The sequence below is a fragment of the Homo sapiens genome, chromosome 9 (assembly GCF_000001405.40).
Source record: "Homo sapiens chromosome 9, GRCh38.p14 Primary Assembly".
In the NCBI taxonomy this organism is placed as follows: Eukaryota; Metazoa; Chordata; class Mammalia; order Primates; family Hominidae; genus Homo; species Homo sapiens.
Genome location: NC_000009.12, coordinates 97,965,312 through 97,992,171, shown reverse-complemented (window position 1 = coordinate 97,992,171; position 26,860 = coordinate 97,965,312). Strand labels below are relative to the sequence as shown.

The 26,860-nt window shown below is 45.0% G+C and overlaps 1 protein-coding gene and 2 long non-coding RNA genes across 3 annotated transcripts in view, besides 9 other annotated features; 1 reads left to right on the top strand and 2 right to left on the bottom strand.

The window, feature by feature from the left end:
- ANP32B (acidic nuclear phosphoprotein 32 family member B) overlaps positions 1 to 8,831 on the bottom strand; it is a 32,603-nt gene extending 23,772 nt beyond the window's left edge. The window contains exon 1 of the mRNA NM_006401.3: positions 8,563 to 8,831. Coding sequence (NP_006392.1) covers positions 8,563 to 8,616 — 54 coding nt within the window. The 5' untranslated portion in view covers positions 8,617 to 8,831. The remainder of the gene's footprint in view (positions 1 to 8,562) is intronic.
- On the bottom strand, positions 478 to 6,736 carry LOC124902225 (uncharacterized). The gene is made up of 2 exons (XR_007061685.1): positions 6,651 to 6,736; positions 478 to 3,206 (listed from the first exon to the last, which is right to left on the bottom strand). It is a non-coding gene; the product is annotated as an uncharacterized LOC124902225 (long non-coding RNA).
- LOC124902226 (uncharacterized) lies at positions 4,369 to 21,777 on the top strand. The gene is made up of 3 exons (XR_007061686.1): positions 4,369 to 4,652; positions 5,357 to 5,526; positions 21,453 to 21,777. It is a non-coding gene; the product is annotated as an uncharacterized LOC124902226 (long non-coding RNA).
- Positions 6,712 to 7,481: a silencer, noted in NCBI's record as "silent region_20110". NCBI's record gives its function as "represses an Ori minimal core promoter by ATAC-STARR-seq in GM12878 lymphoblastoid cells {active_cell/tissue: GM12878}" and the evidence as "EXISTENCE:reporter gene assay evidence [ECO:0000049][PMID:35858748]".
- Positions 7,502 to 7,731: a silencer, noted in NCBI's record as "silent region_20109". NCBI's record gives its function as "represses an Ori minimal core promoter by ATAC-STARR-seq in GM12878 lymphoblastoid cells {active_cell/tissue: GM12878}" and the evidence as "EXISTENCE:reporter gene assay evidence [ECO:0000049][PMID:35858748]".
- Positions 7,762 to 7,811: a silencer, noted in NCBI's record as "silent region_20108". NCBI's record gives its function as "represses an Ori minimal core promoter by ATAC-STARR-seq in GM12878 lymphoblastoid cells {active_cell/tissue: GM12878}" and the evidence as "EXISTENCE:reporter gene assay evidence [ECO:0000049][PMID:35858748]".
- Positions 7,822 to 8,021: a silencer, noted in NCBI's record as "silent region_20107". NCBI's record gives its function as "represses an Ori minimal core promoter by ATAC-STARR-seq in GM12878 lymphoblastoid cells {active_cell/tissue: GM12878}" and the evidence as "EXISTENCE:reporter gene assay evidence [ECO:0000049][PMID:35858748]".
- Positions 8,079 to 8,961: an enhancer, noted in NCBI's record as "H3K27ac-H3K4me1 hESC enhancer chr9:100745493-100746375 (GRCh37/hg19 assembly coordinates)". NCBI's record gives its function as "activates a minimal SCP1, AML or CMV promoter by ChIP-STARR-seq in naive H9 embryonic stem cells {active_cell/tissue: H9 hESC(naive)}" and the evidence as "EXISTENCE:reporter gene assay evidence [ECO:0000049][PMID:30033119]".
- Positions 8,079 to 9,261: a biological region, named in NCBI's record as "H3K27ac-H3K4me1 hESC enhancer GRCh37_chr9:100745493-100746375".
- Positions 8,092 to 8,171: a silencer, noted in NCBI's record as "silent region_20106". NCBI's record gives its function as "represses an Ori minimal core promoter by ATAC-STARR-seq in GM12878 lymphoblastoid cells {active_cell/tissue: GM12878}" and the evidence as "EXISTENCE:reporter gene assay evidence [ECO:0000049][PMID:35858748]".
- Positions 8,362 to 8,451: a silencer, noted in NCBI's record as "silent region_20105". NCBI's record gives its function as "represses an Ori minimal core promoter by ATAC-STARR-seq in GM12878 lymphoblastoid cells {active_cell/tissue: GM12878}" and the evidence as "EXISTENCE:reporter gene assay evidence [ECO:0000049][PMID:35858748]".
- Positions 8,602 to 9,261: a silencer, noted in NCBI's record as "silent region_20104". NCBI's record gives its function as "represses an Ori minimal core promoter by ATAC-STARR-seq in GM12878 lymphoblastoid cells {active_cell/tissue: GM12878}" and the evidence as "EXISTENCE:reporter gene assay evidence [ECO:0000049][PMID:35858748]".
- Positions 21,778 to 26,860: the final 5,083 nt, after the last annotated feature.

Sequence of the window (26,860 nt, the reverse complement as noted above, 5' to 3'; positions counted from 1 at the left end):
GTTGCAGTGAGCTGAGAATGTGCCACTGCACCCCAGCCTCGGTGAAAAAGGAGACTCCATCTCAAAAAGAAAAAGAAAAAAAAAGTCACCGCTAGACTAAGCTTCATGATGACAGGATCATGTATATTCTGGTTACCACTATATCACTGTGTAAGAGCCTACATAACTGCGGAATGAGGAAAAAAACGGTCACAGGTTTGTCAGCAATATTGTACAGAGGTTTGTGTCACAATTGTGGGGGACTAAGATGAAAACCTGGACATAAAAGGGACCAACTTTCTGATCACAGAGTATTTTTTAAGAAAGCACAGTGTGTGGATATATTATAAATCACTTTACAATCCTTCGTGTTGAACATTTGTGCTCAATTTTCCCTACTATAAATAATGCCATATCTTTACTTAAAATGTCTTCTGTATTTAGGACTGTGTTTTCAGAATCCATTGCTAAGTGAAAGAATACAAACATCTGAGTGTGTTATTAGTTAAGAGTTCTTTATTTAAAATGTCAACTTCTCTTTTAAATGAGTAGTTCATTTTAACTGCCACAAAATTATTTTCTGATTTATTTGACTGTTACTTTTTGTAACCTCTCGATTACGGAAATTCTGGCTATTTGCATTTATCTTGTTCTTGAGGATATCTTCTATTTTTTTTACCCTAAGTGAGGAAAAAATAAATACCCCAGCAGAAACACTAACGAAGGACAGACAAGCTCTAAAAGACACAAATAGCCAACACTAAAAAAAACTGTTCAAGGCCAGGTGCAGTGGCTAGTGCCTACAATCCCAGTATTTTGGGAGGCAGAAGTGGGAGGACCACCTGAGCCCAGGAGTCCAAGAGTCACCTGGGCAACATAGGGAGACCCTGTCTCTACAAAAAATAAATAATTATCTGGGCATGGTGGTGCATGCCTGTGGTCCGAGCTACTTGAGAGGCTGATGCAGGAGGATCACTTGAGCCCAGGAGGTCCAGGTTGCAGTGAGCCATTATCATGCCACTATGCTCCAGCTTGGGCCACAGAGACCCAGTTAAAAAAAAAAAAAGTTTGGCTGGGCACGGTGGCTCACGTCTATAATCCCAACCACTTTGGGAGGCTGAGGCGGGCAGATCACCTGAGGTCAGGAGTTTGAGACCAGCCTGGCCAACCTGGCGAAACCCCATCTCTACTAAAAATACAAAAAAATGTGCCGGGCATGGTGGTGTGCACCTGTAGTCCCAGCTACTCGGGAGGATGAGGCAGGAGAATGCTTGAACCCGCGAGGCGGAGGGTTGCAGTGAGCCAAGATTGCGCCACCGCACTCCAGCCTGGGCACCAGAGCAAGATTATGTCTCAAAAAAAAAAAAAAAAAAAAAAAGGTTCAACTGTAAGCAGTAAAAGTGCATATTAAAAATGAGGTATCATTCTACTCTTGTTGGAGGAGGGACAGCTCCTTCAAGAGAGATGGCTAGGATGGACACAGATGTAGGTGAGTTTGTTAAGTGAGAATGAGAAGTTCAGGAAATGAATACCTGAGACCTTTAATTGCCTCTACCAGTAAGAGGCAATAAGATATACTGGGATAAATAGGGCAGAGAGTTGTTGGGCTAGGCAGAAAAGGCAAGTCCCTTGACTTTTCCAGAAAGGCTGAGAATGTAAAGAAACATGCCACCCCAAGAACAGAACGCCAGAAGCATACTGAGAAGATGAGTCACTGGGGAATAAGCACAGAGGAGAATGGGAATTACTGCATAAAGCAGAGACCACTGGAGGGCCCCACTTAGGGCTGTACCCAAGGATAGCAGGTCTAAATGTTCCATCAGCCAACTTCAAGGTTGTTGAAAGTTCTTAACAGGACCTTGATGAAAGGTATTCTGAGCTCGGATATTGTTTCAATGGCAGAAAAGTGGCATTTGAGGTGCAGAAAAAGTGTATTTACATGTGCAACACACATACACAGGTGCACTCACACTCAGTGATAACTGAGTAGTTAGAATTTAGGGCTTATATACCTAACTTAGAAGAGGAAAGGACAGCAGGAGAAAAACCTTTTGGGAAGAACAGATTTCTTTAGGGAACACAAATGGTATTTTCAGAACAAATGAGAGATCAAGTTTACAATGTCTGTCTACATAGGTATGAGTGGTCTTTCTTTTCTTAGGGCCAAAAGACTACCCCTCCAACCCCTACCAGAGGTTTACTCTTGGCCTCTCTCCTGGGAACAGACTCACTCCAAAGGGAGAATTTATGTCAGCCCTCGTTTGTGACATGTATTTGCTTTTAGCCAGATAAACTCCAAGTAGGCTTCTCTCTGCATCTGTTGAATCTCAAATCTCTTCAGTTTAAAACAATCTTTATATCAACTCTGGGGTTCTCAGTGGATCTCCACAGAGGTAACTAAGCCTCATCTCTTTTCATTCCTTCCTGGGTATAGAGATCTAGACTGCCTTGCAAAGGAGATAACAGCTTTGGAAGAGTGTAGTTGAGACAGTGAGTGGAGCTGGGGTCAAGATGATCCCACAGCTTCCCAATCTAGATTCAGAATAAACCAGAGGTCCTAATCAAAGGAGAAAAGGCCCTAGTTTCTTCTTATATCTCAAATCCTCCCAGAGCTGCTATCTAATGAAGAAAGTTAGGCAGGCACTTGTTCATTTGTGCTTAAATCTGAGGGATCTATTTGATCCAAGAGTTAACTGGCCTTCTGCTTGAAGATGGACAGTTTAACTTTTGGGGCCAAATTCACTCCTCTTCTTCCCTCATGCTCCAATTAAACTTGCCTTTTCTCAAACACAAATTTAAGGTAAACACTTAAAAATGAAAAATCCATACTACCTCCTACTTAACTCATATTTGTTTTCTACAGTTACCAGCAAACAGTAGTTTCCTACTACTTTTTCATTGAAAAATTTGAACTATATTGCAGCCAAATACCTTTTCAGATCTGACTGGAGGATATAACAATGATTTATAACACTACCTCTATGAAAAACAAAACACATTTTAAGTTCTAAATGGCAAAATGCCTATGAGGTCCTTCTTTAAGTTATGATGAGTCTAGGTCATGGGAATATCCCTGGGGATTGGAGCTGGGGGCCACAGGAGATGGAAACATTTTTTTTCCTTTCATTCTCTTCAATTTGCTCATTTGCCACTCCCCTAGCTATTATGAAAAAAGATCAACTTTACCTAACTGGTGGGGCGATGCTCTCCAATTATACCAGCTGTCTCTGCCATAAAAGGAGGAAAGGGTATGGAGGAATTAAAGATCTTTCTGAGTTGTCAATTCTTTTAATTAGAACAATACTGGTTATTATGGTAAGTGAAATAATCCCAAAATATAGAAAGTAATTCCTGCCATCCTTGCAATTTCCATTCTTCTGAGTTAACCAGTATTCAAATCTTCTACCCATTATTTTAAAATAATGTTTCTAAATTAATAGAACTTTTTATTATTTTATTTTTATTTTTGAGATGGAGTCTCGCTCTTTTGCCTATGCTGGAGTGAAGTGGTGTTATCTTGGCTCACTGCAAACTCTGTCCCCGGGGTTCAAGCAATTCTCCTGCCTCAGCCTCCAGAATAACTGGGATGACAGGTGCCTGCCACCACACCTGGCTAATTTTTGTATTTTTAGTAGAGACGGGGTTTCGCCATGTTGCCCGGTCTGGTCTTGAATCCCTGACCTCAGGTGACCCACCCTCCTCTGCCACCCAAAGTGCTAGGATTATAGGCACGAGCCACTGTGCCCAGCCTGGAACGGATCTCTATTAGTGGTTCTCCAATGTGTTTAGGTAGCACGACTGCTGGCATTAAGGAAGGAAACACCAATATTCTACTGGTGGGTATTTAAAGACGGGAACCATTCTGAAAAGCAATCTGGCAGATGGAAAAAAAAATCACATTATAAGATGCTCATTTCAGCAGTATTTAAAACAGCCAAAATCCCTGTGAACAACCTGAGAGGGATGTTTAAATTATGATCTATGCAGACATTAATAATGAGTCTATAAAATAAGGACACACACAAAGATGTTGACTGTATTTTTTTTCTAAAAAAAAAAGCAACAAGCTAGCTAGCATTTGGATTATTTGCATGAACCAAGTTTAGAAAAAATTTAAACATTCTGGTAGACTATAATACACTAAAGTGTCTAGATGGTACGTTAGGCATGTATGATGTCTATCTTCTTTTTGCTTGTCTATACCTACAATTTTTTGGCCTATCTATATCTAATTTTTCTTAAACGAAGATGTATTACTTATACAAGGAAAAAAACCCCAATTAGTTGCTATGCAACCAACTAGAATATCCAATTGAGCTCAAAATTACATCACAGTAGACACAACAAAAGAGGTCAAAAGCTGGGGAGGGGGTGCGGATCAAAAAAAGATGGAAGTTAAAGACAATCTACATTTTTTCTCAGTAAATTGGGACTACGTAAAGACTTTTATTTTGGTATATGAAATGTCACAGTCCAGCATATAGCACACCAGCATTTCGCAGGTGCATAGACTGCAAGCCACAGTAAGGAACTGCTTGGCTTTCTAACTTTGAATGAAAAACTCAGAGCTGATAGGAAGGCTGACTGTCCCCAGATGCGTGGTTAATGAGGTGCTTCTAACAGAGCGACATGTTCAGTTTACTGGAAGGATAAGAATCTCACATAAAGAACAGGTATTCTTTTCCAATTTTAGAATACAACTAAATGTGGTTTATATCTAGCTACTGCATGTCAGTGTCTTCTCATTTTACTGACAAGACCTCCAATTTCCATGGTGTATATATGGTGTATTCTAGCACTGTTCAATTTACTCTCAGTGAACTGCCAATATTTTATATAAAATATTTCCTTGTCATACAAACTATCTCCTATCCTTGTCTATAAAATGTTTTTAAATGGTAACCACCATTCTTCATGAAGATTACTTTAAAATGCCATCTTAGGCCATTTTGTTCCACTATGAGAATATACCCTGCCATAAGAGCTCTTTTGGACTTAGAAAAAAATAAATAAAATTCTGTATTTCTTTACAATCCCTCGCCCCCATCCCTTAGGGAAATGGGCATACTTGTGTTTATAAGGAATAGGGATATAGTAACAGGTGAACTGAAGAAGACCCTAGTAACACTTTTGTGTTTACCTTCTTGTCTTCCTTGGTCAGAACACACAAGAGCCCAACTGAACAAAAGTGTTACTAGGGTCTTCTTCAAACCCCAGTAATTAAAAAAAAGCCATATACACAATAAAAGCCCATCTGGTCTTAAACGTAAGAACATATTTACAATTAAACCCCTATTCGCCCTCTTCAAACACCCTTAAATCTCACTTGACTTTAAAATCATTAAGGTCAACCATGGGACACTGCTGTATATTTCAGGGCATCCTGTTCATACAACAACAGTATACCTTCAACAAGGGAAACGATTCTTCATGTTACCCCACACGACAAGTCTGCAGGATCCCAGAGGCCAAGCCTACTGTGTAACAGCTGACAATGCCATCAATTTCTGTGGTGTTTATGGCATGTTCCAGCACATCACACATAAGGTATCATGTGACTAGCTGAATGTGATTTTAAGAGAGTGATCTCCAAACTTTTCATTTGCCTTAAGGATGACGCCTCTGTGCGAAAACACTTTAAACTCTCTTTTAGAATTTCCTTCAAAATCTACAGCATTTTTTCCTGAAAAACCCTTCACTTTTAGGTCAAAGTTTTATTCGCCCAACTGGGTACCTAACTCCCACTGGTCTCAGTCTCCCTAAGGGAACCTTCCTCTACCCCCACAATCTTAGCTGGCTCCCACAACACTCTCTCAAGGCCTCATCAACTCTCCCAAGTGCAAAAAGCACCACACCACCTCAATGGTTTCTCAGGCTTAAAATGTTTACTTAATAAACCAGTGGATTCTGCAGGCCAGTGCTGCCTAACGCAGCACCCACGAGCCACTTGTCACGTCTGAGCACTTGAAATGTGGATAGTATTACAGAGAAAATGTTTTAATTTAACTGAATTAAATGGCTCTGGCCTGACTGGCAAGAAGGTTAAGCTGATTACTTGAAAAATGAACTGGTGGCCGGGGGCGGTGGCTCACGCCTGTAATCCCAGCACTTTGGGAGGCCGAGGCGGGTGGATCACCCGAGGTCAGGAGTTGGAGACCAGCCTGAACAACAGGGAGAAACCCCGCCTCTACTAAAAATACAAAATTAGCCGAGCATGGTGGCGCATGCCTGTAATCCCAGCTACGCGGGAGGTTGAGGCAGGAGAATCGCTTGAACCCGGTAAGCGGAGGCTGAGGTGAGCCGAGATAGTGCCATTGCACTCCAGCCTGGGCAAGAGAGAGACTCAGTCTCAAAAAAAAAAGAAAAACAGAAAAAAGAAAAATGAACACCTGTAGATATACATGTGTTTTTAAAGCAATATTACTTCATATATGAAAACATCCTCTAAGGGGAACAGCAGACCAACTGTGTTTCCCAGAGGGAACACTACTCTTGAGAATTTTAAAAGACCTTTAGTTTGAGCATATCCTAAAGAATTCAAATTCTAGATTTTAACGCATTTCTGAAGACCCACGTGTGTACTTCTCTTGCGGGCACTTTGGCTAATTTTAGCTACTCCATATTCTACGGATTTGCAATTACGCCGCAATGGAAAAGTCTGGAATAAACACCTTCTCAAGCCAAGAAAGCCTCTCAAGTTTTGAGGCGCGAGCTGGGCGATAGGCTAGCACGTGGCGGGCACAAAATGTCTGACGGAAGGTCGGAAGAACGCACGCCCGCGACCCTCCATCTCGCAACCCCCGGAGCGGCCCACCCTCGCGGGCCCTCCGGGAAGGACAGCGCCGTGCGGTGGAGCCCGGCCCGCCCCGCGTTAGTGGTGACCTCAAAGACTAGAGAGCAAGGATTTAAAATGTCGAGCACACCAGGTAAACCCTGGTCGACGAATTCCCACAAGTTCGCGACTTGTTAACCACAGCCACCTGAGGGCACGAAACCTGGCCGCTCGCTTAGCCCAGAGCGGGTCGGGAGGCCCCGCGGGGCCGCCCTCCGCGGGAAAGCCACTGGCCCGCTGGGGCACCCGGCCGCGGCGCTAACTGGCCCGCGCCGGTCCGCGGCGGGGGGGGGGCTCGCGACGGCGGGCAGCCGCGCTAAACCCGGGAGACGAATGGGGCAATTCCCACAGGTCGGACCCACGCCCACGCAGCCGCGCCGCAAGAGGGCCGCCCTCAGGCCCCTACAGCCCGCAAGGCGCGCGGCCGACCGCACCAGGCCGCTCTCAAGCACGTGGGAGGCCAGAGGCCGCCCGGCCCACGAGCCGAGCCGAAGCCCGCCCAAAATCCCGCGCGCCCGGCGCGGGGCGGGGGCGGCCGCCTGCCGTTGCCCTTTTAAGAAGGGGGAGGGGGTCGGCAGCGCGCCCGCGACGGGATGAGTCGGCGGCGGCCGCGGCGCGCGGCTCCCGCCAGTGGGAGCCAAGCCCCGGCGGGGCGGGGGGAAACAGACCGAGGGCTCGGCGCGGGAAGAGGCGGCCGCCAGCCAGCGCCGAGGGCGGGCGGGCAAGGCCAAGCTCGTGGGCCGGCTCACCAGGCGCAGGGAGACGGGCACCCGCCAACATGGCGCTGCGGCGGCCTGTGGCGCGCCCCGGCTGGCGTGAAGAGCCGCCGCCCGCCCACACGGAGGGGCCAGCCTCCCGGGGCAAGGGCAGGGGCCCCGGGCGCCGCCGCCGCGGCACAGGGGGAAGGGCGAGGCCGTCGCCACAACGGTTGGCCTTGGTCGACCCGGGCTGCCCCTGGGAGGCAGGAGTGGGCAAGGCCGAGGGCGAAGAGGGAGCGAGAGAACGGGGGAGAAAGTTTTATTTTTGGGCTTGAAAAATGGCGGGAACCACGTCCTTTTTTCAAACTTGGCCTCGGGAGGGGCGGCGGTTGCGCCACCTCCGCCGCCCTGGCCCGCCCCTCCCCCGCTCCGCGCGCCGGGCCGCGCCCGCCCAGGCCTCCAGGCGCCCGAGGGGGCTTCTCGCTCCCTTCAAAAGAAAAAAGCCCCCTCCTCGCCCCACGACTGCTGACCTCGGCCGGGCCGGCGCCCACGGCGAGCTCCGGCCACAAGAGCCCCCGTCCCGCCCCACCCGCGCCCCTTCCCCGGCCGGCCCGGGGCGCGCGGAGCCCGGCCTGGCCCAGGCGGGGATGGCCGCGCAGCTCCTCGGCAGGCCGGGCCTCCGCCCGGCCGCGCATCCCGGGAGGCTGCAAACATGGCTCCCAGCGTTACACAACCCCCGCCTCCCTCTCTCGCCGCCGGCCACTTGCACACGCGCTCCCTCAGGGGAAAGACCCCGGCGGGCGAAGCGCTCAAAGTTTGCTTTCCCCCACACCGCTGCCTCCCCCCGGCCGCCCCAGGGGCCCGCGGGCGGCAAAGAGTTAATCCTCGCGCGCTCGCTCCCCCCTCCGCGCCCGCCCGCCTTCCCCGTCCGAGCCCACGAGCTGCGCTCTTCCCCGCGCCGGGGCCGGCGAACCCTCAGCCCGGGCCCCGCAGGTGGCCACCATTACATGCAAGTCATCGGGGGAGAGGGCACCCAGAGGGGTCTCTGCTTACAGCTGCCGGGGTCCGGTTCCTCAGCTCCAGGTGGATCCTCCTCTTCATGTCCATGTTCCCCTCTTCCCCCCTCTTCAAACTTAACTTTCCGCGGCGGGGGCGGAGGGGGGAGAGGCGTCCCGGCTTGCGCAGCGAGGGCCGTCGGAAGGGTTTGCTAGCGGCGGAGGCCGGCGGCGCGGTCCTGGGTGGCGGGCGGCGTGCGGGCAGGCGAGCGGAGCCCCCGGAGCCAAGTTACTCACGGGAGCGGAGAGAAACCATGGAGGGAAAAGGGGGCTGGAGCGCAGCGCTGGGCTCACTACCGCCGCCCCCGGCCGCGGCCTGCACTGCGCTTAAACCGGCGACGCGGCGCGGCAGCTGCTCGGCTCCACTCGGCCCCGCGCGGCGCTGCTCGGCTCGGCGGCCGCGGCTGCACCAAGGCGGGGCGGGGAGACTCGCGGCGGGCGGGGCGGAGGCTGGGGAAAGGCGCAGCCCGAATAGAGGAGCGACTTCCTCCCTCTCTCCGATTGCACGTGGGGCGGCTGATGTAAGACCTTTCTCGTGGGTGGGGGGGCTTCCCCGCCCCCCGGCCCCCGCCGCGCTGAGACTCCTTCTACCTCCGGCCCCACGTCGTCGCGCCCGGAGCTGGGCTTGCGGCCCGGGCTGGGAGGTTCGCGGGAAGGGTTGGTGGGAAGCTTTGCAGTCCGGCTGCGGGGGTCCCTAAAACCCAGTCCATCCGGGGAGGCTCACGGGGGCGGCCCGACGCCCGCGGAGGCGCGAGATGTGAAGAAGCCGGGGACAGGCTTTGACGTTCACCTTTTGCCTGCCACACAGTCTGGGGCCAACAGGCCGAACCCCGCTGCCTCCTTGGCAGACTGGCGTCCGTAGTGCCGCCGAGGATCCCCCCCGTCGGGACGGAATCGCGGCCGACCGGCCCTGGCAGGGCAGCTGGGGTCGCTTGCTAAGCCACAGAGCAGCCGAGCATCCCCACCCTGTTCAGGAGAGTCTCCCTCGGTTTTCTAACATTTTAATAGGAGCTAGAGAAGGAAACGATTAGCATTTCTAATAGGGCCTCAGGGTTTCCCCGCAGACTTTTTTTTTTAATCTCATTTATTCCTTAGGGCACCCCTGTGAAGTGTGTAAATTCTTGGTGGTCTAAGTTTCGCTGAAACCTGGCAGGCAGCCTTTGTCATGGTCTGGCCCAAAGGGTCCCAGGGGTTAGAGCACCAGATCGGGATGAGTGTTGTGCTTTGCAGAACACCGGGGAATGACGTTATATTCAGCGTACAATAAGTAAATACATAATGTGTCAAATCAAATACAATCTAAGAAGATCGTACTGACAAGAAGCACCAAAAACTAAGAACAATTTGTTAAAGAAAAACTTGAAATTCTATGTATTAACATGAAGTTTTATGGAAGTTAAGAAAGTGCCCCCTTTCCTATTTTACCTAAGTTTTAGTGGCAAACAACCCAAATTTAGTTGTAAACCAATTATATATCAGCTTTTAAAATACTGAGTGAGTTAACATTTGAAGATGAAAGTTTTAGAAGGAATATGGGAAAAGAAAAACTTTCTGGTAGTAGTTCCCTGACTCCGTTTGTAGTCTCAGCAGACGTCTTTATGACAAGGGAAAATGGAGACAGATGTTCTCAGGGTTACAAAAGGTCTGTAACTAAGGTTATGAGAACCACAGGGCTATGCAATGAGGGCTTTTACCAAACAAAACAAAACAAAACAAAAAATCGGTTTCATGAGCCAACAAGCGATTATTGAGGATCTGCTTTAAGGGGCTTGATATTATTTCTCTAATTCTCAGACAACTTTCTGAAGTAGGTGATAATTTAATCATTTTACAGATGAGGAGCTCAGGAATCTTAAGCTGCACGTCCAGCAAGAAGCAGAGCTAGGATTTACACCCAGATAGGTCTGACTCCACAGCCCACCATCTTGTGCTACATCATCAGTCTGGCTAGAGTGGAGTCATAGCATGGTGGGGGGCTACTTTGGTGCTGTAGGTTGGGAACAGTTGCAGAGGGCTTTTAATACCAAACAGCATGCAAGTGTCCTCGTGCAGGAAAAGGGGGGATGGTGCTGAAGGAGTCTTAAACGTGGTAGCTCTGTGCTAGAGAGTGGTAACCTGATGGCTCCCGGAGGAGGTGGTATTAATCCTTAGCATCAGGGCAAATCTTGAGACTCTGTCCTCTCTTTATGGCCAACTGGAGGGTATGAAGGACTCTTTCCCTAGGGTACATAGCTCACAGGATAGATGTGTGTTTTATAGTATTAAGCCACAAAGTAATTAATAAACATAGCCACAATGTGCTGCAAATAGAAGGCAAAAGAGCCAAAGGAGGAGAGACTACAGACACGGCACTGTCCGTTCTTACGCAGCCGGTGCTGGCATGCACCTCTGTGAACAAAGAGCATGTGTTCCAGTGACATGCTTCTTTGTCAGGGGCTTCACTGCCAGAGGCATAAATAACACAGGCAGAGCAGGGTGTGTCTCATTGCCCTGCCAACATCTTCTACGGGACTGTCAGTCTACAGGCCTGAAGGGGCTGTTGTCACAGCGCCTGGGTTTTGAATATTGCTGCTCTTAACATCATTCTCTGCATCTGTGTGTGAGAAAGATGTAGAATATTCAATTATATCTAATCTGCAAGTATTATCATGTCCATGGATTTATGGATTTCAACAAGGGCTGAAAGGGAATAAGGAAATGTAAAAACAGTTTGTTAGACCAAACTAAGAATGAACTTCTTTTTACTTCCATTGATGTTAACGTTTGACCAGTAAGTAATAAAAATATCAAATAATGCCAGGTTTTGGCACCCCTTGAGCCTTAAAACTGCCTGTTAATCAGAATGGCTATGTATTCCAAAAAGCTCTAAAATGTCTGAGCGGAACACTCCGAGCCAGTTTGTAACTCCTTGGACCTGTGCCCCACCCCGCTGCCTCAGCAACAGCATGTTACTTGTCATGTCATCATATGACTTGAGCCTTCCCCACAAACTTTGTGGCTGTGGACAGACTTTAATAAATCTGAAGATGAGAGGAAACAGCCCTACTAGGTCATTGATTTAACTAGCTCTGAAACCAGCTTAACAGAATGGGCACATTTTAGTAACGACAGTATATGAAGCTGATATATAATATAGAGTGAGGAAATGATTACTCTTTAAATACTTCCATTCTTCCCGTCCTCTTCTACACGCATGTGCATACACTGGTAAGAACATATCTCTTCCCCAGCCCGGAGTTTCCACAACTTAGTGTGTGTACCTCTATTATTGCAGTTCGGCAACAAATGGTAGTTATTGAAGGATCTAACTTCTCAATTAGAACTCAGAGAAGTATTTCTGGATGATAGGAATGGAGAGGAGGACCTGGGGTCCATCTTTAGAACATAGCAGATGCTTTGCAAATGTATGTTATGTTGAAAATAGTGTCACATGTACTAAAAAATACCATCTAGGCAGCTGAGATTATTGAGACAAGGGGAGAGGGAGAGGCAAATAGGTGAAAATGGGTTAAGGGAGGAGATCCTGTTAGTCTCCACATGGTAAAAACAGAGGAGGGGAATGTGTCAGGTGTACAGGAAGCTCTAGGCCCAGTAACGGGCCCCTGCCCAGGTTCCTTTCTGCTTTCTGAACCAGCTGGAGGTGCTATGCCTTCCTGGTGCAGCAGGGAAGAGCTATGACTACCAAGAGTCAGGTCTAATATTTATTAAGCACCATCCTTATGCCAAGTGCTATGCATGGGACTTTTGTGTACACTGCTTCTCAGTTAATCCTAGCAACAGCTCCCCGGGCAGGACGATAATCCACCTTTTTTTAGTATTTAGGAAACAGACTCAGCAAAGCCAAGTAGGTTTGCTGAAATTCATATAACTACTAAGAAGCTAGATTTCTCTTGTCATTAAGGGCTCACTGTAATTCATTCTCATTACTTTGATCGACTAGTCCTCACAACTGCTTCTGAAAAAAAAAACATTTTTTTCCTGTTTTAAAAAGGTTTACTTGCTCATTGTGCAGAAAAAATTTAAAAATAGAAAATAAATTTAAAAGTTCCTGCCATTGAGATATAACCACCATTAAGTTGTATATCCTTGCAATTTTTTTCTGTACTATACATATTGTTTTTCAGTGTTGGGATCAGATTGAAGATTTTTTTTAGAAACTTGCTTTTTCCACCTATCATTATGATAAATCTGTATTAATATAACTTTCTTCAGTGGTTTTCCCTTTTAGAAGGACTTCAGTGAGATGAGAATCCCACTCTACCACTTACTGGCTGTGTGCTTTAGGGCAAAACATATAGCCTCTCTGGGCCTCAGGCTGCTCATCTCAGAACTTTTGAGGGTTGGACATAATTACATTAGAGAAGCTGAGTGCCTTTCACTTTTCTCTGCACCCCAGCCACAGTCACTGCAAGCCTGAGTCCCTTCCTTACCCAAGCAGCATCCCAGAGCCTGCCAGCCTCTTCCAAGGCTAGGAACATTCTGCTGTTTCCATCTCTGCTCCATGTGCTACCCCTTTGGCTAAGGGGGAAATATGTTTTTAAATCTCAAATAGTCAGGCTCATTTTCTGCTTCACACAGTCCTTGTTCTCTCTTGAGGAACTTGGAACATGCTCCTGAGCTACACTGGAAAATATCGAAGTGCCCTTCTCCATAATTAGCCAGCATCCCTGCCATCTGGACCCTCTCATACCTCACAGGGATTTCCTTGTCCACATGGAACTGAGACTGATCCAAGAGTCCAGCTCCTGCTGACTGAACTCTGCCATCTGTTCCGAAGCTTGCCTTACCTGCTCCTGTCCAACCAGGCACCCCTCTGTGGGCCTGTGCTTTAGTCCTTTTTCACTCTAGACCCTGGTACTACTGAGGTGGCTTGCGTGGTCCTAAATTTGCTAGTCTCTTATTTTGATAAAGGCTGCAAGTAGCAAATATCCTTATCCTTGAAAATAAGGGCATCTAGGCCCCTGGCTTCTTTTTATGTTTATTTATGCATGTACTATAGAAAACTTGGAAACCATACTTACAGAGAAGAAAATAAGAATTTCCATCCAAGGCTTTTTTAAAGGGCCAAGCACTGTTCATGTTTTGTTGTCTATTCCTCCAGTCTTTTCTCTACACACATATGGCATTTTCTCAAGTCTCAGATAGTGAGAAGCATCATCTCATTAGTAAGACCTTTTCAGGAGGGAGGGAGGGGGAACCCACAACATCAAATATTCATGTCAATTTTAAGAGATATTTCACATATAGAAGTGAAAAAGTATAATACCTAGGAAATATCACAATTAAAAATATTTTTCAAAAGTGGGATAGTATAACCTGCTTTTTAGTTAACAATATATTATAGACATATTTCCATGTCATTGAATAATCTTCTACAATATATATTCCTTGAAGATATTCTTCTACAAAAATGAAAATTTGTTTTCTTTTTCTGGGCTTAAGGACAATACACATTCATGTAGCAAATTCATGCAATGCAAAAAAGTATAAATAAGAAAAGCCAGCCAAAATCCCATTACTTAGAGGGACTACTGTTAACATTTTTGTGAATATTTTCCAAGCTATTACTCTACGAATGAAGATGCATATATAAAATATATAATTTTATATAAATGGAATTCTATAAATGATACTCTATAATACGTTTTTCATTTTCACTAAGCAATGGGTCACAGAGATTGCTCAGTCAGTAAGTTGGATCTACTTCATTTTTAAAGGCTGCATCATATTTTATTGTACGGACTGGAGAATAATTTACTCACCTGGTCTCCTACTGATAGACACTTAGATTACTTCCAGTTGTTTACTATTATACATAACATCGTTGAATACATTTAGCTCCTTGGAATAAATTCTTAGAAGTGCAGTTCCTGAATCAGAGTGTACACATTTCAAACTGGTATATACATGTCAAATTGCCCTTCAAAGGCTACTACTTTATACTCCTGTTAGCAGTGTACAAGACTTCCCCTCACTCTTGCCTAAACTAGGTATTATCTTTAAAAAAATGTTGTGAATTCGTTTTCAACAAGGGTGCCAAGACAGTTCAACGAGGGAAAGAATAGTCTTTTCAACAAATGATGTGGGACAGTTGGCTGTCCACAAGGAAGAGAATGAAGTTGGACATCATTTACAAAAATTAATTCAAGGCCAGGCACGGTGGCTCACGCCTGTAATCCCAGCACTTTGGGAGGCTGAGGCGGGTGGAGCACGAGGTCAGGAGATCGAGACCATCCTGGCTAACACGGTGAAACCCCGTCTCTGCTAAAAATACAAAAAATTAGCCGGGTGTGGTGGCAGGCGCCTGTAGTCCCAGCTACTCGGGAGGCTGAGGCAGGAGAATGGCGTGAACCTGGGAGGCGGAGCTTGCAGTGAGCCGAGATCGTGCCCCTGCACTCCAGCCTGGGCGACAGGGCAAGACTCCATCTCAAAAAAAAAAAAAATTTAATTCAAAATGGATCATACACCTAGATATAAGGACTAAAACTATAAGACTCAGAAGAAAAAGTAGGATGACCTTGGATTAGGCAAAGTTTTTTAGATAGGACACCAAAAAGAAAAATAGATTAATAGACTTCATCAAAATTTAAAATTTTGTGTTTCAAATGACTCCATCAGGAAACAGAAGACAATGCATGGGATGGGAGAAAATATTGCAAATCATATATCTGATAAGACACTTGTCTTCAGATGTATAAAAAACTACTGCAGGCTGGGCACGGTGACTCATGCCTGTAATCCCAGCACTTTGGGAGGCTGAGGCAGGCAGATCAGTTGAGGTCAGGAGTTCAAGACCAGCCTGGCCAACATGGTGAAACGCCGTCTCTACTAAAAATACAAAAATTAGATGGGTGTGATGGCGCGGCCCTGTGAAGCTGAGGCTGGAAAATCGCTTGAACCCGGGAGTCAGAGGTTGCAGTGAGCCGAGATTTTGCCACTGCACTCCAACCTGGGCAACAGAGCGAGACTCCGTCTCAAAAAACAATGGGCAAAGGATTTGAATATACAGTTCTCCAAAGAAGATATACACATGGCCAATAAGCATATGAAAAAATGCTCAACATCGTCATTAGAGAAATGTAAAAACCACAATGACATACAACCTCACACCCTTGTGCATTGCTGGTGAGAATGTAAAATGGTGCAACTTCTTTAGATTTTGGCTCACTGCAACCGCCGCCTCCCAGGTTCAAGTGATTCTCCTGCCTCAGCCTCCCGAGTGGCTGGGATTACAGGCACCCGCCGTCATGCGTGGCTATTTTTTTTTTTTTGTATTTTTGTAGAGAGGGGGTTTCACCCTGTTGGCCAGGCTGGTCTCAAACTCCTGTCCTCAGGTGATCCACTCAGCTTAGCCTCCCAAAGTGCTGGGATTACAGGCGTGAGCCACCGCGCCTGGCCAACAACCTCTTTGGAAAACAATTTTGAAATTGTTTTGTTTACAATGTCAGGTTCATAGAAAAAGAAAAAGTTAAACATGGAATTACATATGAGCCAGCAATTTCACTCCTAGGTATATACCCAAGAAAATGAAAATGTATGTCTACACAAAATTTGCACATGAATGTTTATTGCAGCATTAGTCTTAATAGGCATAAAATGGAAACGACCCAAATATCCATTAGCAATGAATGAATAAACAAAATGTGGTTATCCATACAATAGAATATTATTTGGCCATGAAAAGGAATGAACGTGGGTAAACCTTAGTAACGTTATGCTAAATGAAAGAAGCCATTCATGAAGGTCACATACTGTGTGGTTCTGTTTATGTAACATGTCCAGAATAGGTAGACAGAGACAAAGCAGATTTGTGGTTACCAGAGGTTTGGGGGAAGGGAGGATGCAGAATGACTGCTAACGGGTCTGGGGTTTCTTTCTGGAGTGATGAAAACATTCCAGAATTAGATTGTGGTGATGGTTTGGTTGTACAACTTTGTAAGTATACTAAAAACCACTGAATTGTACACTTTTAAAAAAGTTAAACATATTGCTACCATATGACCCAGCAATTCTACTCCTAGGCAAATATCCAAAAGAATTGAAAACATAAATCTACACAAAAGCTTGTAAAGGAATGTTCATAGCAGCATTATTCATAATACCTCCAAAGTAGAAATAACCCAAATCCATCAACTAGTGAATGCATAAACAAAATATGGTGTATCTGTGTGGTAGGCAAAATCATGGCCCCCAAGGGACTTTGCAGATGTGATTAAGGATCTTGAGATGGGGAGATTATCCTGGATTATCCACATAGGCCAGTGTGATCACAAGGTGCTTAAAAGTTGAAGAGGAAGATGAAAGAAGAAAAAAGGAAATTTTGACTATAAAAAAGGAGGCCATAGTGATGTGTGAGAAGGACTTGAATGCTGGCCTCGAAGGTGGAGGAAGGGAGCCATAAACGCAGGAATGTGGATGGCATCTACAAAGTGGAAAAGGGAAGGAAAAAGGATCTCCCTTGGAGCCTCCAAAAAGGAACACAGCTCCGACAACACCTTGGTTTTAGCCCAATAATACCTGCCTCAGGTTCCTAACCTACAGAACTGTAAAGTAATAAATTTGTGTTGTTTTAAGCTACTAAATTTGTGGTAATCTGTGGCCGGGCGCGGTGGGTCACACTTGTAATCCCAGCACTTTGGGAGGCCGAGGCAGGCGGAGCACGAGGTCAGGAGATCGAGACCACGGTGAAACCCTGTCTCTACTAAAAATACAAAAAATTAGCCGGGTGTGGTGGCGCACGCCTGTAGTCCCAGCTATTCCAGAGAGGCTGAGGCAGGAGAATGTCGTGAACCTGGGAGGCAGAGCTTGCAGTGAGCCAAGATGGCGCCACTGCACTCCAGCCTGGGCGACAGAGTGAGACTCTGTCTCAAAAAAAAAAAAAAAAAAAAAAAAAATTGTGGTAATTTGTTATAGCAGCGAATAGGAAACAAATACATCCATACAATGGAATACTATTTGGCCATAAAAAGGAATTAAATGCTGATACATGCTACAACATTGATGAACTTTGAAAATATGCTAACTGAAACGAACCAGACATAAAAGGCCACATAGTGTATGATTCCACCTAGATGAAATGTCCAAAATAGGCAAACCTGGCTGGGCGCGGTGGCTCACGCCTGTAATCCCAGCACTTTGGGAGGCCGAGGCGGGCGGATTGCCTGAGGTCAGGAGTTCAAGACCAGTCTGGCTAACATGGTGAAACCCCGTCTCTACTAAAAATATTTTCAGAAAAAGTAGCCGGACGTGGTGGCGTGTGCTTTTATTCCCAGTTACTCGGGAGGCTGAGGCATGGGAATTGCTTGAACCAGGGAGGTGGAGGTTGCAGTGAGCTGAGATGGCGCCACTGCACTCCAGCCTAGGCGAGAGTGAGACTCCCTCTCAAGAAAAAAAAAGGCAAACCCACAGAGACAGATTAGTGGTTGCCAAGGACTGGAAGTTATGGGGAGTGACTGCTAATGAGTATGGGGCTTCTTTGGGGGGGAAGGGAAATGCTCTGGAATTTGGTAGTGGTGATGGTTACACAACTGTGTGAATATACTAAAAATCACTGAATTGTATACTTTAGAAGGATGAACTTCATATAACTGTATCCCAATAAAACTGATAAACTTTGTCAATTAGGTAAGTTGAAAATATCCCATTTGGTTGTTTCAATTTGTACTTCTTTATATAACAAATAAAGCTAAATACTTTTTCAGATATTTTTAAGCCATTTGTACTTCTTTGTAAGTTGCATGTTTGTGTCTTATTGGTGTTTTAAAATTATTTATTAACAAGTGCTCTTATATATTAAGAATGTTAGCCTTTAGTGTAACATATATATATCCAAACTATTTTTCCCAATTTTTTGTGTGTGCTTTTAAAATGTTGTTTATAGGATAGAGATATATCTCCATGTATAGGTGTAAACACACACACACACACACACACACACACACACATACATACACCACACACATACAGGGGGAGATGAAGAAAAATTTTAAATTTTTATTCAGGATCAAACCAGTCTTTATGGTTAATGGTTTTATGTCATGATTAGAAAGACCTTCCTCACTCCAAGATTATATCAGTATTCACCTATATTTTCTTCTGGTACTTCTGGTTTCATTTTTTATGTGAAATCTTTCATCTACTTGGACTTTCTTTTTTTTTTTTGAGACAGGAGTCGCACTCTGTCGTCCAGGCTGGAGTGTAATGGTATGATCTCAGCTCACTGCAACCTCTGCCTCTGAGGTTCAAGTGATTCTCCTACCTCAGCCTCCCAAGTAGCTGGGATTACAGGCACCCATCATCATGCCTGGCTAATTTTTTTGTATTTTTGTAGAGATGGGGTTTTACCATGTTGGCTAGGCTGGTCTTGAACTCCTGACCTCAGGTGATCCGCCCGCCTCATCCTCCCAAAATGTTGGGATTACAGGCGTGAGCCACTGCGCCCAGGCTTCTTGGACTTTTAATGTATGGTTTGAAGTAAAGATCTCATGTTCTTTATTTTAATGGCTAGCTGTTATTCCAATACCATTCCTTAAATAACCATCTTTCCCCCAATGAACATGAAATGTGACCTTTATAACATACTACATCCTTACCTATTCGTGAGTCTCTCTTTCCTTCCTTCCTTCCTCCCTCCCTCTTTCTCTTCTTCTCTCTTTCTTTCTTTCATTCCTTTCCTTTCTTTCTTTTCTTTCCTTTCCTCCTCTCACCTTCCCTTCTCTTCTCTTCTCTTTTCTTTTCTCGCTTTGTTGCCCAGGCTGGAGTGCAGTGCCGCAATCTTGGCTCATTGCAACCTACACCTCCCAGGTTCAAGTGATTCTCCTGTTTCAGCCTCCCGAGTAGCTGGGATTACAGGCACGTGCCACCATGCCCGGCTAATTTTTGTATTTTTAGTAGAGACGGGGTTTCACCATATTAGCCAGGCTGGTCCCTACCTTCTGAGCTTAAGTGATCCACCTGCCTCAGCCTCCCAAAGTGCTAGGATTACAGGTGTGAGCCACCACACCCAGCTGTAAGTCTATTTCTGAACTTCCTTCTCTGTTCGTTTATTTTTCTGTCTGTGTCCTTACCAGTACCTCTGGGAGAGTTTAGAAAATGCTAAGCCAGTGGACAAATGGCAGAAGAGCAGAAGTTTACTTTCTGGAGAAAGTAAAGCTAATAGAGCGCTGGGCTTAGAGACACCAGGCCCAGATGAGGGTGGCTGTGGATTCCCCAGGCCCATTTCTTATCTCCCTTTCTGCAAAAGGACATACTATCAGCCAAGATGTAGAATGGTATCAGAAGGATTTCTAGTTAGTCATGGTAAATTGATACGCTTATCTTCATACCCTCCCAAATCACTAAAAGGATTTAAGGATAGAATTGAGGAAATTTGCCCCAAAAATAGCATAAAAATATAAAGAAATACCCTAAAGGAAAAATACATATAAAAGTAGAGAATCGGTCCAGGAGGTCCAACATCTGACTAATCAGAGTTCAAGAAAGACGGAAAAGACAGAATGGAGGGGATGAACTGGAAGTCTACATCCTAAATGGTGAGCTACTCCTCCAACTCCCCTTTTCCCAGCTGGCTCCAGAATGCTAATGGCTAATCTCCAGAGGCAGGAGACTGGAAGAGTCTTTTCTGGGGGAAAGTGACTAGTTTAAGAAAAAATAAGATAACCACATTTGGTTTTTTTTTTAGCTGTCATATTTTTAATTTCCAAGGGCTCTTTCTTATTTTTAATGTTCATTTTTCATAACATGCTGTTTTTATTCCATTAATGTAACATATTTTAACCTCTTTTTTTTCTTTCAAGCATATGGAGCTCAGGTGAACATATTTTAACATCTTTAAATACATACACATGTATTTATGTATGTAAACATATATACATAAATATATGTATAATAAATATATTTATGGACATATTTATATCTAACATATGTACATTAAATATATATATTTAAATTTTATTCATTTTTTGAGGGACACAGTCTTGCTTTGACCCAGGCTATAGTGCAGTGGCATGATCATAGCTAACTGCAGCCTCAAACTTCTAGGCTCAAGTGATCCTTGTGCTTCAGCCTCCCGAGTAGCCACCACGCCTGGCTAATTTTTTTATTTTTAATTTTTTTGTAGAGACAGAGTCTCACTATGTTGCCCAGGCTGGTTTCTCCCAGGCTAGTCTCTAAATCCTGGCCTCAAGTGATCCTCCCACCTCAGCCTCCCAAAGCTCTGGGGTTAGAGGCAGGAGTCACCAAGCTTGGCCCCTTAAGTTTTATTCTGATCTCTGAAATGTCTCCATTTTCTCCAGGTTTCTATTTATTTGTTTATTTTTGGGACAGAATTTTTGCTCTTGTCACCCAGGCTGGAGTGCAGTGGTACCATCTCGGCTCACTGCAACCTCTGCCTCACAGGTTCAAGCAATTCTCCTGCCTCAGCCCCCCAAGTAGCTGGGATTTTAGGTGCCCGCCACCACGCTCAGCTAATTTTTTTGTATTTTTAGTAGAGACGGGGTTTCACCATGTTGGCCAGGCTGGTCTCGAACTTGAAATTGACCTCAGATGATCCACCTGCCTCAGCCTCCCAAAGTGCTGGGATTACAGGAGTGAGCCACTGCGCCCGGCCTCCAGGTTTCTTTTTAGTAACACAGAGTTCTGGCTTTCATTATAGAGTCTTTCCTGAGTATATGATCATCCTTAAATATCCATTTATATTTATGAGAGAGGCACTAAAAAGTGCTTCTGTGGGAACTCTGTGTCCCCTGGTAGGTCTTAAAGACTAGTGGGCACTCCCCTAGGGTGATCAGGAAGCAGGTTCCTTGAGGAACCCCCAAATGTCAGTATTTTTAGTACCGATAGCTGTAAATAATGAAATTATCAAACAGTAATACAACGCAATTCCTCTAGGATTCCAGATCGAAATGGCCCACCAAGGCATATCATAATGAAGTTGCAGAAAACTAGAAATCCTAAAAGTGTCCTAAGAGGGGAAAAAAATCATAATCTGAAGACTAGGATTCAAAATGGCATGAGCCTTCTCAGTAGAACACTGGAAACTAGAAGACAGTGGAGCAACTGACAGTCTTCAAAATTGTGAAGAAAGTTATCATCTTAGAACTTCCGCAGCCAAATTATCATTCAAGAGTAAGCATAGAATAAAGACTTACATACATTCAGCGTGTCAGAATATTGACCCTCCATGCACCCCTTTCCAGGAAGCTCCTGAAGAATACATGCCCATAATGTTAGCTGTACAGCTGGCCCGGAGGGCAATCCTGTGTAGGCGGGAACCAGAGGACAGAAGGTTCTTGGGGTGGCCGGGGGTGGGGTGGTGGGGGGATGTCAGGAAATAACAATCAAGGATACCACCTGCGTAACCACACTGAGAAGAGAGAGGAGTTTTACAGCTCTGACGGATGTAGTAAATTAAGCCAAAGGAAGACAAAAAGAGGTTATTCTTAACACCAGGAAAAATTAAAAGTTGTACAAAAAATATAATTATAGTATGTTATATGTAGGTCTTAAAATCACCTGTAAACACCACATACAGAGTCACATTAACATAAGTAACCATTACTGAAAGGAGGGGGGAGTCAAAAGTGTGGGAAAGTAAGGATGAAGAGAGATAAAGTCTTATTTTTCATAGTAGGAAGTCAATAGTTAATGTCAAAAATTTTTAAAAAAAGAATAATATAGTCATAGTATTTATATAAAAGGAGGTAAACAACAGAAGCAACTGCTAAAAGAACAGTCTCTGGAGCACTGTCTGTGGAGAATGACAAGTGAGGTGGAAAGGGCTAAGGCAGGGGCCTGCTGTTTTTCGTAACAGACTTTGTTTTGTTGTTGTTGTTGTTGTTTGTTTGTTTGTTTTGAGATGGAGTCTTGCTCTGTCACCCAGGCTGGAGTGCAGTGGCACAGTCTCAGCTCACTGCAACCTCCACCTCCTGGGCTCAAGCAATCCTCCCACCTCAGCCTCCCCGGTAGCTGGGATTACAGGCAAGCGCCACCATGCCTGGCTGATTTTTATATTTTTAGTAGAGGTGGAGTTTCACTGTGTTAGTGAGGCTGGTCTTGAACTCCTGACCTCAAGTGATCCACCCGCCTCGGCCTCCCAAAGTGCTAGGATTACAAGTGTGAGCCACCGCACCTCCAGACTTTGGAGTAGTTCTATTTGATGTTTAAAACTCTGCCCATGTATTACCCTGAAACAAATAAGATTTAAGTTGAAAAAGCAAGCAAGCTGGCAGAGGAGGGTCCTGGCCTTGGGTGTAGGTGCTGGGAAAAGGTGCTCTGCCTCCTCAGCGATCTGTTCCCATCAGGCTAATGTCCCAGAGGGGCAGAGGACAGATGGTGTGGGAGCAGCCAAGGGCATTCTTTCCTTTTCTCAGGCATCCGCTCATAAAATTCAGGTGAGTATAATGTGTGCTCTAAATTGGGTCAGTGTTTCTTAATACAGCTGCAACATGCACATTAGAAGAACAGAAAACAGAAATGCTGCCAAGACTCTGGCATCAGATTTCTTTCAGACTTTTTATGGTGTTGGGGATTCCTAATTTTCCATTTTCTTCAGATGTTTTTCAGTAAGGAATTGAGAAAAAGTAGGAGACTACTAGGAAGCCTCTGTTTTTTACCAATATTTGGGCTTTTTAAATTATTTTTTTTGAGACAGGGTCTCGCTCTGTTGTCCAGCCTGGAGTAAAGTGGTGTGATCACTGCAACCTCAAACTCCTGGGCTCAAGCAATCCTCCCACCTCAGCCTCCCAAGTAGCTGGGACTACAGGTGCATCCCACCACGCCTGGCCAATTTTATTATTTATTATTATTATTATTATTATTATTATTTTGTAGAGATGGGGGTCTCCCTATGTTGCCCAGGCTGGTCTTGAACTTCTGGGCTCAATCAACCCTCCTGCCTCGGCCACCAAAAGTGTTGGGATTAGAGGCATGAGCTACCGTGCCTGGACTCTCTTTCTCTCTCCCCCTCATTGGGGAACAGTTACAGTGGAACACACAGATCTCAAGCATACGGTTAATGAGTTTTGACAAAAGTATACACCTGTATAACCAGTCCCTCAGTCAAGATAGAAAGTACTGCTATCGCATCCCCGTGTTCCTTCCAATGCCTATCAGAGACAACCCTTATTCTAAATTATATCCCTATAGATGATAATGATGATGATGATGATGATGATTGTTTGAGACAGAGTCTTGCTCTTGTCACCAGGCTGGAGTGCAGTGGTGCCATCTTAGCTCACTGCAGCCTCCGCCTCCTGGGTTCAGGCAATTCTCCTGCCTCAGCCTCCCAAGTAGCTGGGATTACAGGCGCCTGCCGCCATGCCCGGCTTTTTTGTATTTTTACTAGAAACAGGGTTTCACCATATTGGCCAGGCTGGTCTCTAACTCCTAACCTCAGGTGATCCTCCCATCTCTGCCTCCAAAAGTGCTGGGATTACAGGCGTGAGCCACTGCATCTAGCCTCCATAGATTATTTTACCTGTTCTTGAACTTCATATGAATGGACTCATACTGCATGTATTCTCTTATATCTGACTTCTTTTACTCAACATGATGTTTTGAGATTTATCTGGGTTGTTGGGTGCATCAGTAGCTCATTTCTTCTTTCTTTCTTTCTCTCTTTTATTTTTTGTAGTGACAGAGTCCCACCACGTTGTCCAGGTTGGTCTCAAACTACTGGCCTCAAGTGATCCTTCCATCTCAGTCCTAAAGCACTAGGATTACAGGTGTGAGCCACTGTGCCTGGCCTTCTTTTTACTGATTAGTATTCCAGTGTATGAATATACCACAATTTGTTTTTTTTTGTTTTGTTTTGTTTTTTGTTTTTTTGACACTGAGTTTTGCTCTTGTCGCCCAGGCTGGAGCGCAGAGGGTGCGATCTCAGCTCACTGCAACCTCCGTCTCCTGGGTTCAAGTAATCCTCCTGCCTCAGCCTCCCGAGTAGCTGGGATTACAGGCATGTGCCACCACACTCGGCTAATTTTTTTGTATTTTTAGTAGAGACAGGGTTTCGCCATGTTGACCAGGCTGGCCTCAAACTCCTGACCTCAGGTCATCCATCCACCTTGGCCTCCAAAAGTGCTGGGATTACAGGTGTGAGCCACTGCGCCCGGCAACAGTGGGAAAATAATGGATAAACAATTAACAATGGATAAACAATTTGTTTATTCATTTGCTGGGCAAGTCTCATCTTTCTGGTGATCAGCCTTGTTTCTGAGCTGGAGCAAATCTTCTTTGACCCTTTTAACTAACACGCTAATGGAGTTGTTGCCACTATATGGAGTTGGAAGTTGAAAGAACTAGGCTTTTTAAAGGACCAACGTAATTTACATATAAGCTATAAATGGAAACTGGATGCAATACATGCTCATTTAGGTTAAAGCTATTTCTGTACCAGGAGACCAATTAAAAGCCTGTGGCGGCCGGGCACAGTGGCTCACGCCTGTAATCCCAGCATTTTGGGAGGCTGAGGCGGGCAGATCACTTGAGGTCAGGAGTTTGACACCAGTCTGGCCAACATGGTGAAACCCTGTCGTCTCTATTAAAAATACAAAAATTAGCTGGTCGTGGTGGCACACGCCTGTAATCCCAGCTACTCAGGAGGCTGAGGCAGGAGAGTTGCTTGAACCTCGGAGGTGGATGTTGCAGTGAGCCAAGATCGTGCCACTTCACTCCAGCCTGGGCAACAGAGTGGGATTTCCTCTCAAAAAAAAAAAAAAAAAAAAAAAGCCTGTGTCAATAACCCATGTGTGAGTTGACTGAAGTCTGGAGTATGTTTTTTTGTTGTGAGAAGAGAAAGTTAGGGACAGATAGGGTAAATATTTCACAAGAAGACTTGACAAGGCTTTGTGACAGACTAGGTGTATTACATGAAGATGCAGGATGAGTCAAGTCCTATTTCAATGCAAACACCTGCCTGTTGAGTTCCTCTTCTCTTCACAGCTCGGGCCAATCAGCCCCTCTGCAGGCTCTGTCAAGTCAGGGAATTTAAAGGGCCCTGGTTCAATAGCTCAGCCTGTCTTCCAGGCTAACTTACACCTTTCATCCTACTTCTGGTATCTAAGCTCTCACCACACACCTCAGGTCTTTTTAAAAGCATGGTGATATTATGGAAAGAACACTGAATTTGGACTTGGTCAATATTTCATTCTTTCATTCACTGAGGCTCTCTACATCGCAGTATCGCCACTCCTCCAGACTGTTTTGGTAATCAGAACAATTGATTTCAAAGTTCTTGTTATGGTTCATAAGAAACTGAATAAGAGAAATTACCTGTGGGAGGGGAGTAGGTGGGATGAGGAAGAAGTAGGAGTGAAACTTTTTAGTGCATACCTTTTTATACTTAAAAATATTTTTTGAACCATATGAACACATTACTCTTTCAAAAAATATTTTTAAATCCTGAGTGGAATAAAATAAAAATATGTCTATAAATTAGGCTGCTGAAAAGGAATGGGGTGCAGAGATTGTCTACCACCTATTTGTGAGAATGTTGAGGTCCGTTAGACAGGCAGTCCTGTCACTTTGAGATAGATGGATTGCCATTTCTGCTTAATGACCAAAAATGGGAAATGGGTTACAGTGGAAAGAACTCCGCTCTGGAATAAAGACATCCGGGTCTGGGTCCTAGTTTAACTGTGTAACTTAGGTGGGTTCCATCCCCTCTCTGTGTCTTCTATTAGCTAAAGGAGAAGGACTGCATGATCTTTGAAACTCTTCCAGCTCTGACACGCTAGACTATAATGCTAATTTCTAAGCAACAGAGGTTGATTCCAACTCTAGGATAGGGCATGCAATTAATCCTAATTTATCAGCATAGTCCCACATCTTGTCACACTTATTGATTCAGAAGTGAGCACTATCTTAGATTGAGTTCTCCAGAAACAGAATTTAAGATGGAAAGTTGCATGCAGAAGGGTTTTTTTTTTTCATTTTTATTTTTTCTTATTTCTTTTTTTTAAATATTGAAACACGGTCTTGCTATGTTGCCCAGGCTGGACTTGAATGCCTGGGCTCAAGCAATCCTTCTGCCTCAGCCTCCTGAGTAGCTGGTACAGAATTGCATCTGTACCTAATATAGGCATGCACTACTGTGCATGGCATGCAGATGGTTTATTGAAAAGTGTTCTCAGGACATACAACTGTGAGGAAGTAAAGAAGACAGGGTTGGGTGTAGAGAGAAGCTGACCAGCAAAATAGTTGCTGGGTAGTTACAATGAAGGCTTTCTCTGGTCCCACTGGGAGCCCAGGAGCTGGGCTAGCCCTTCAGAGTTGTCCTAAGTTGAAGTGTATTCCCACAT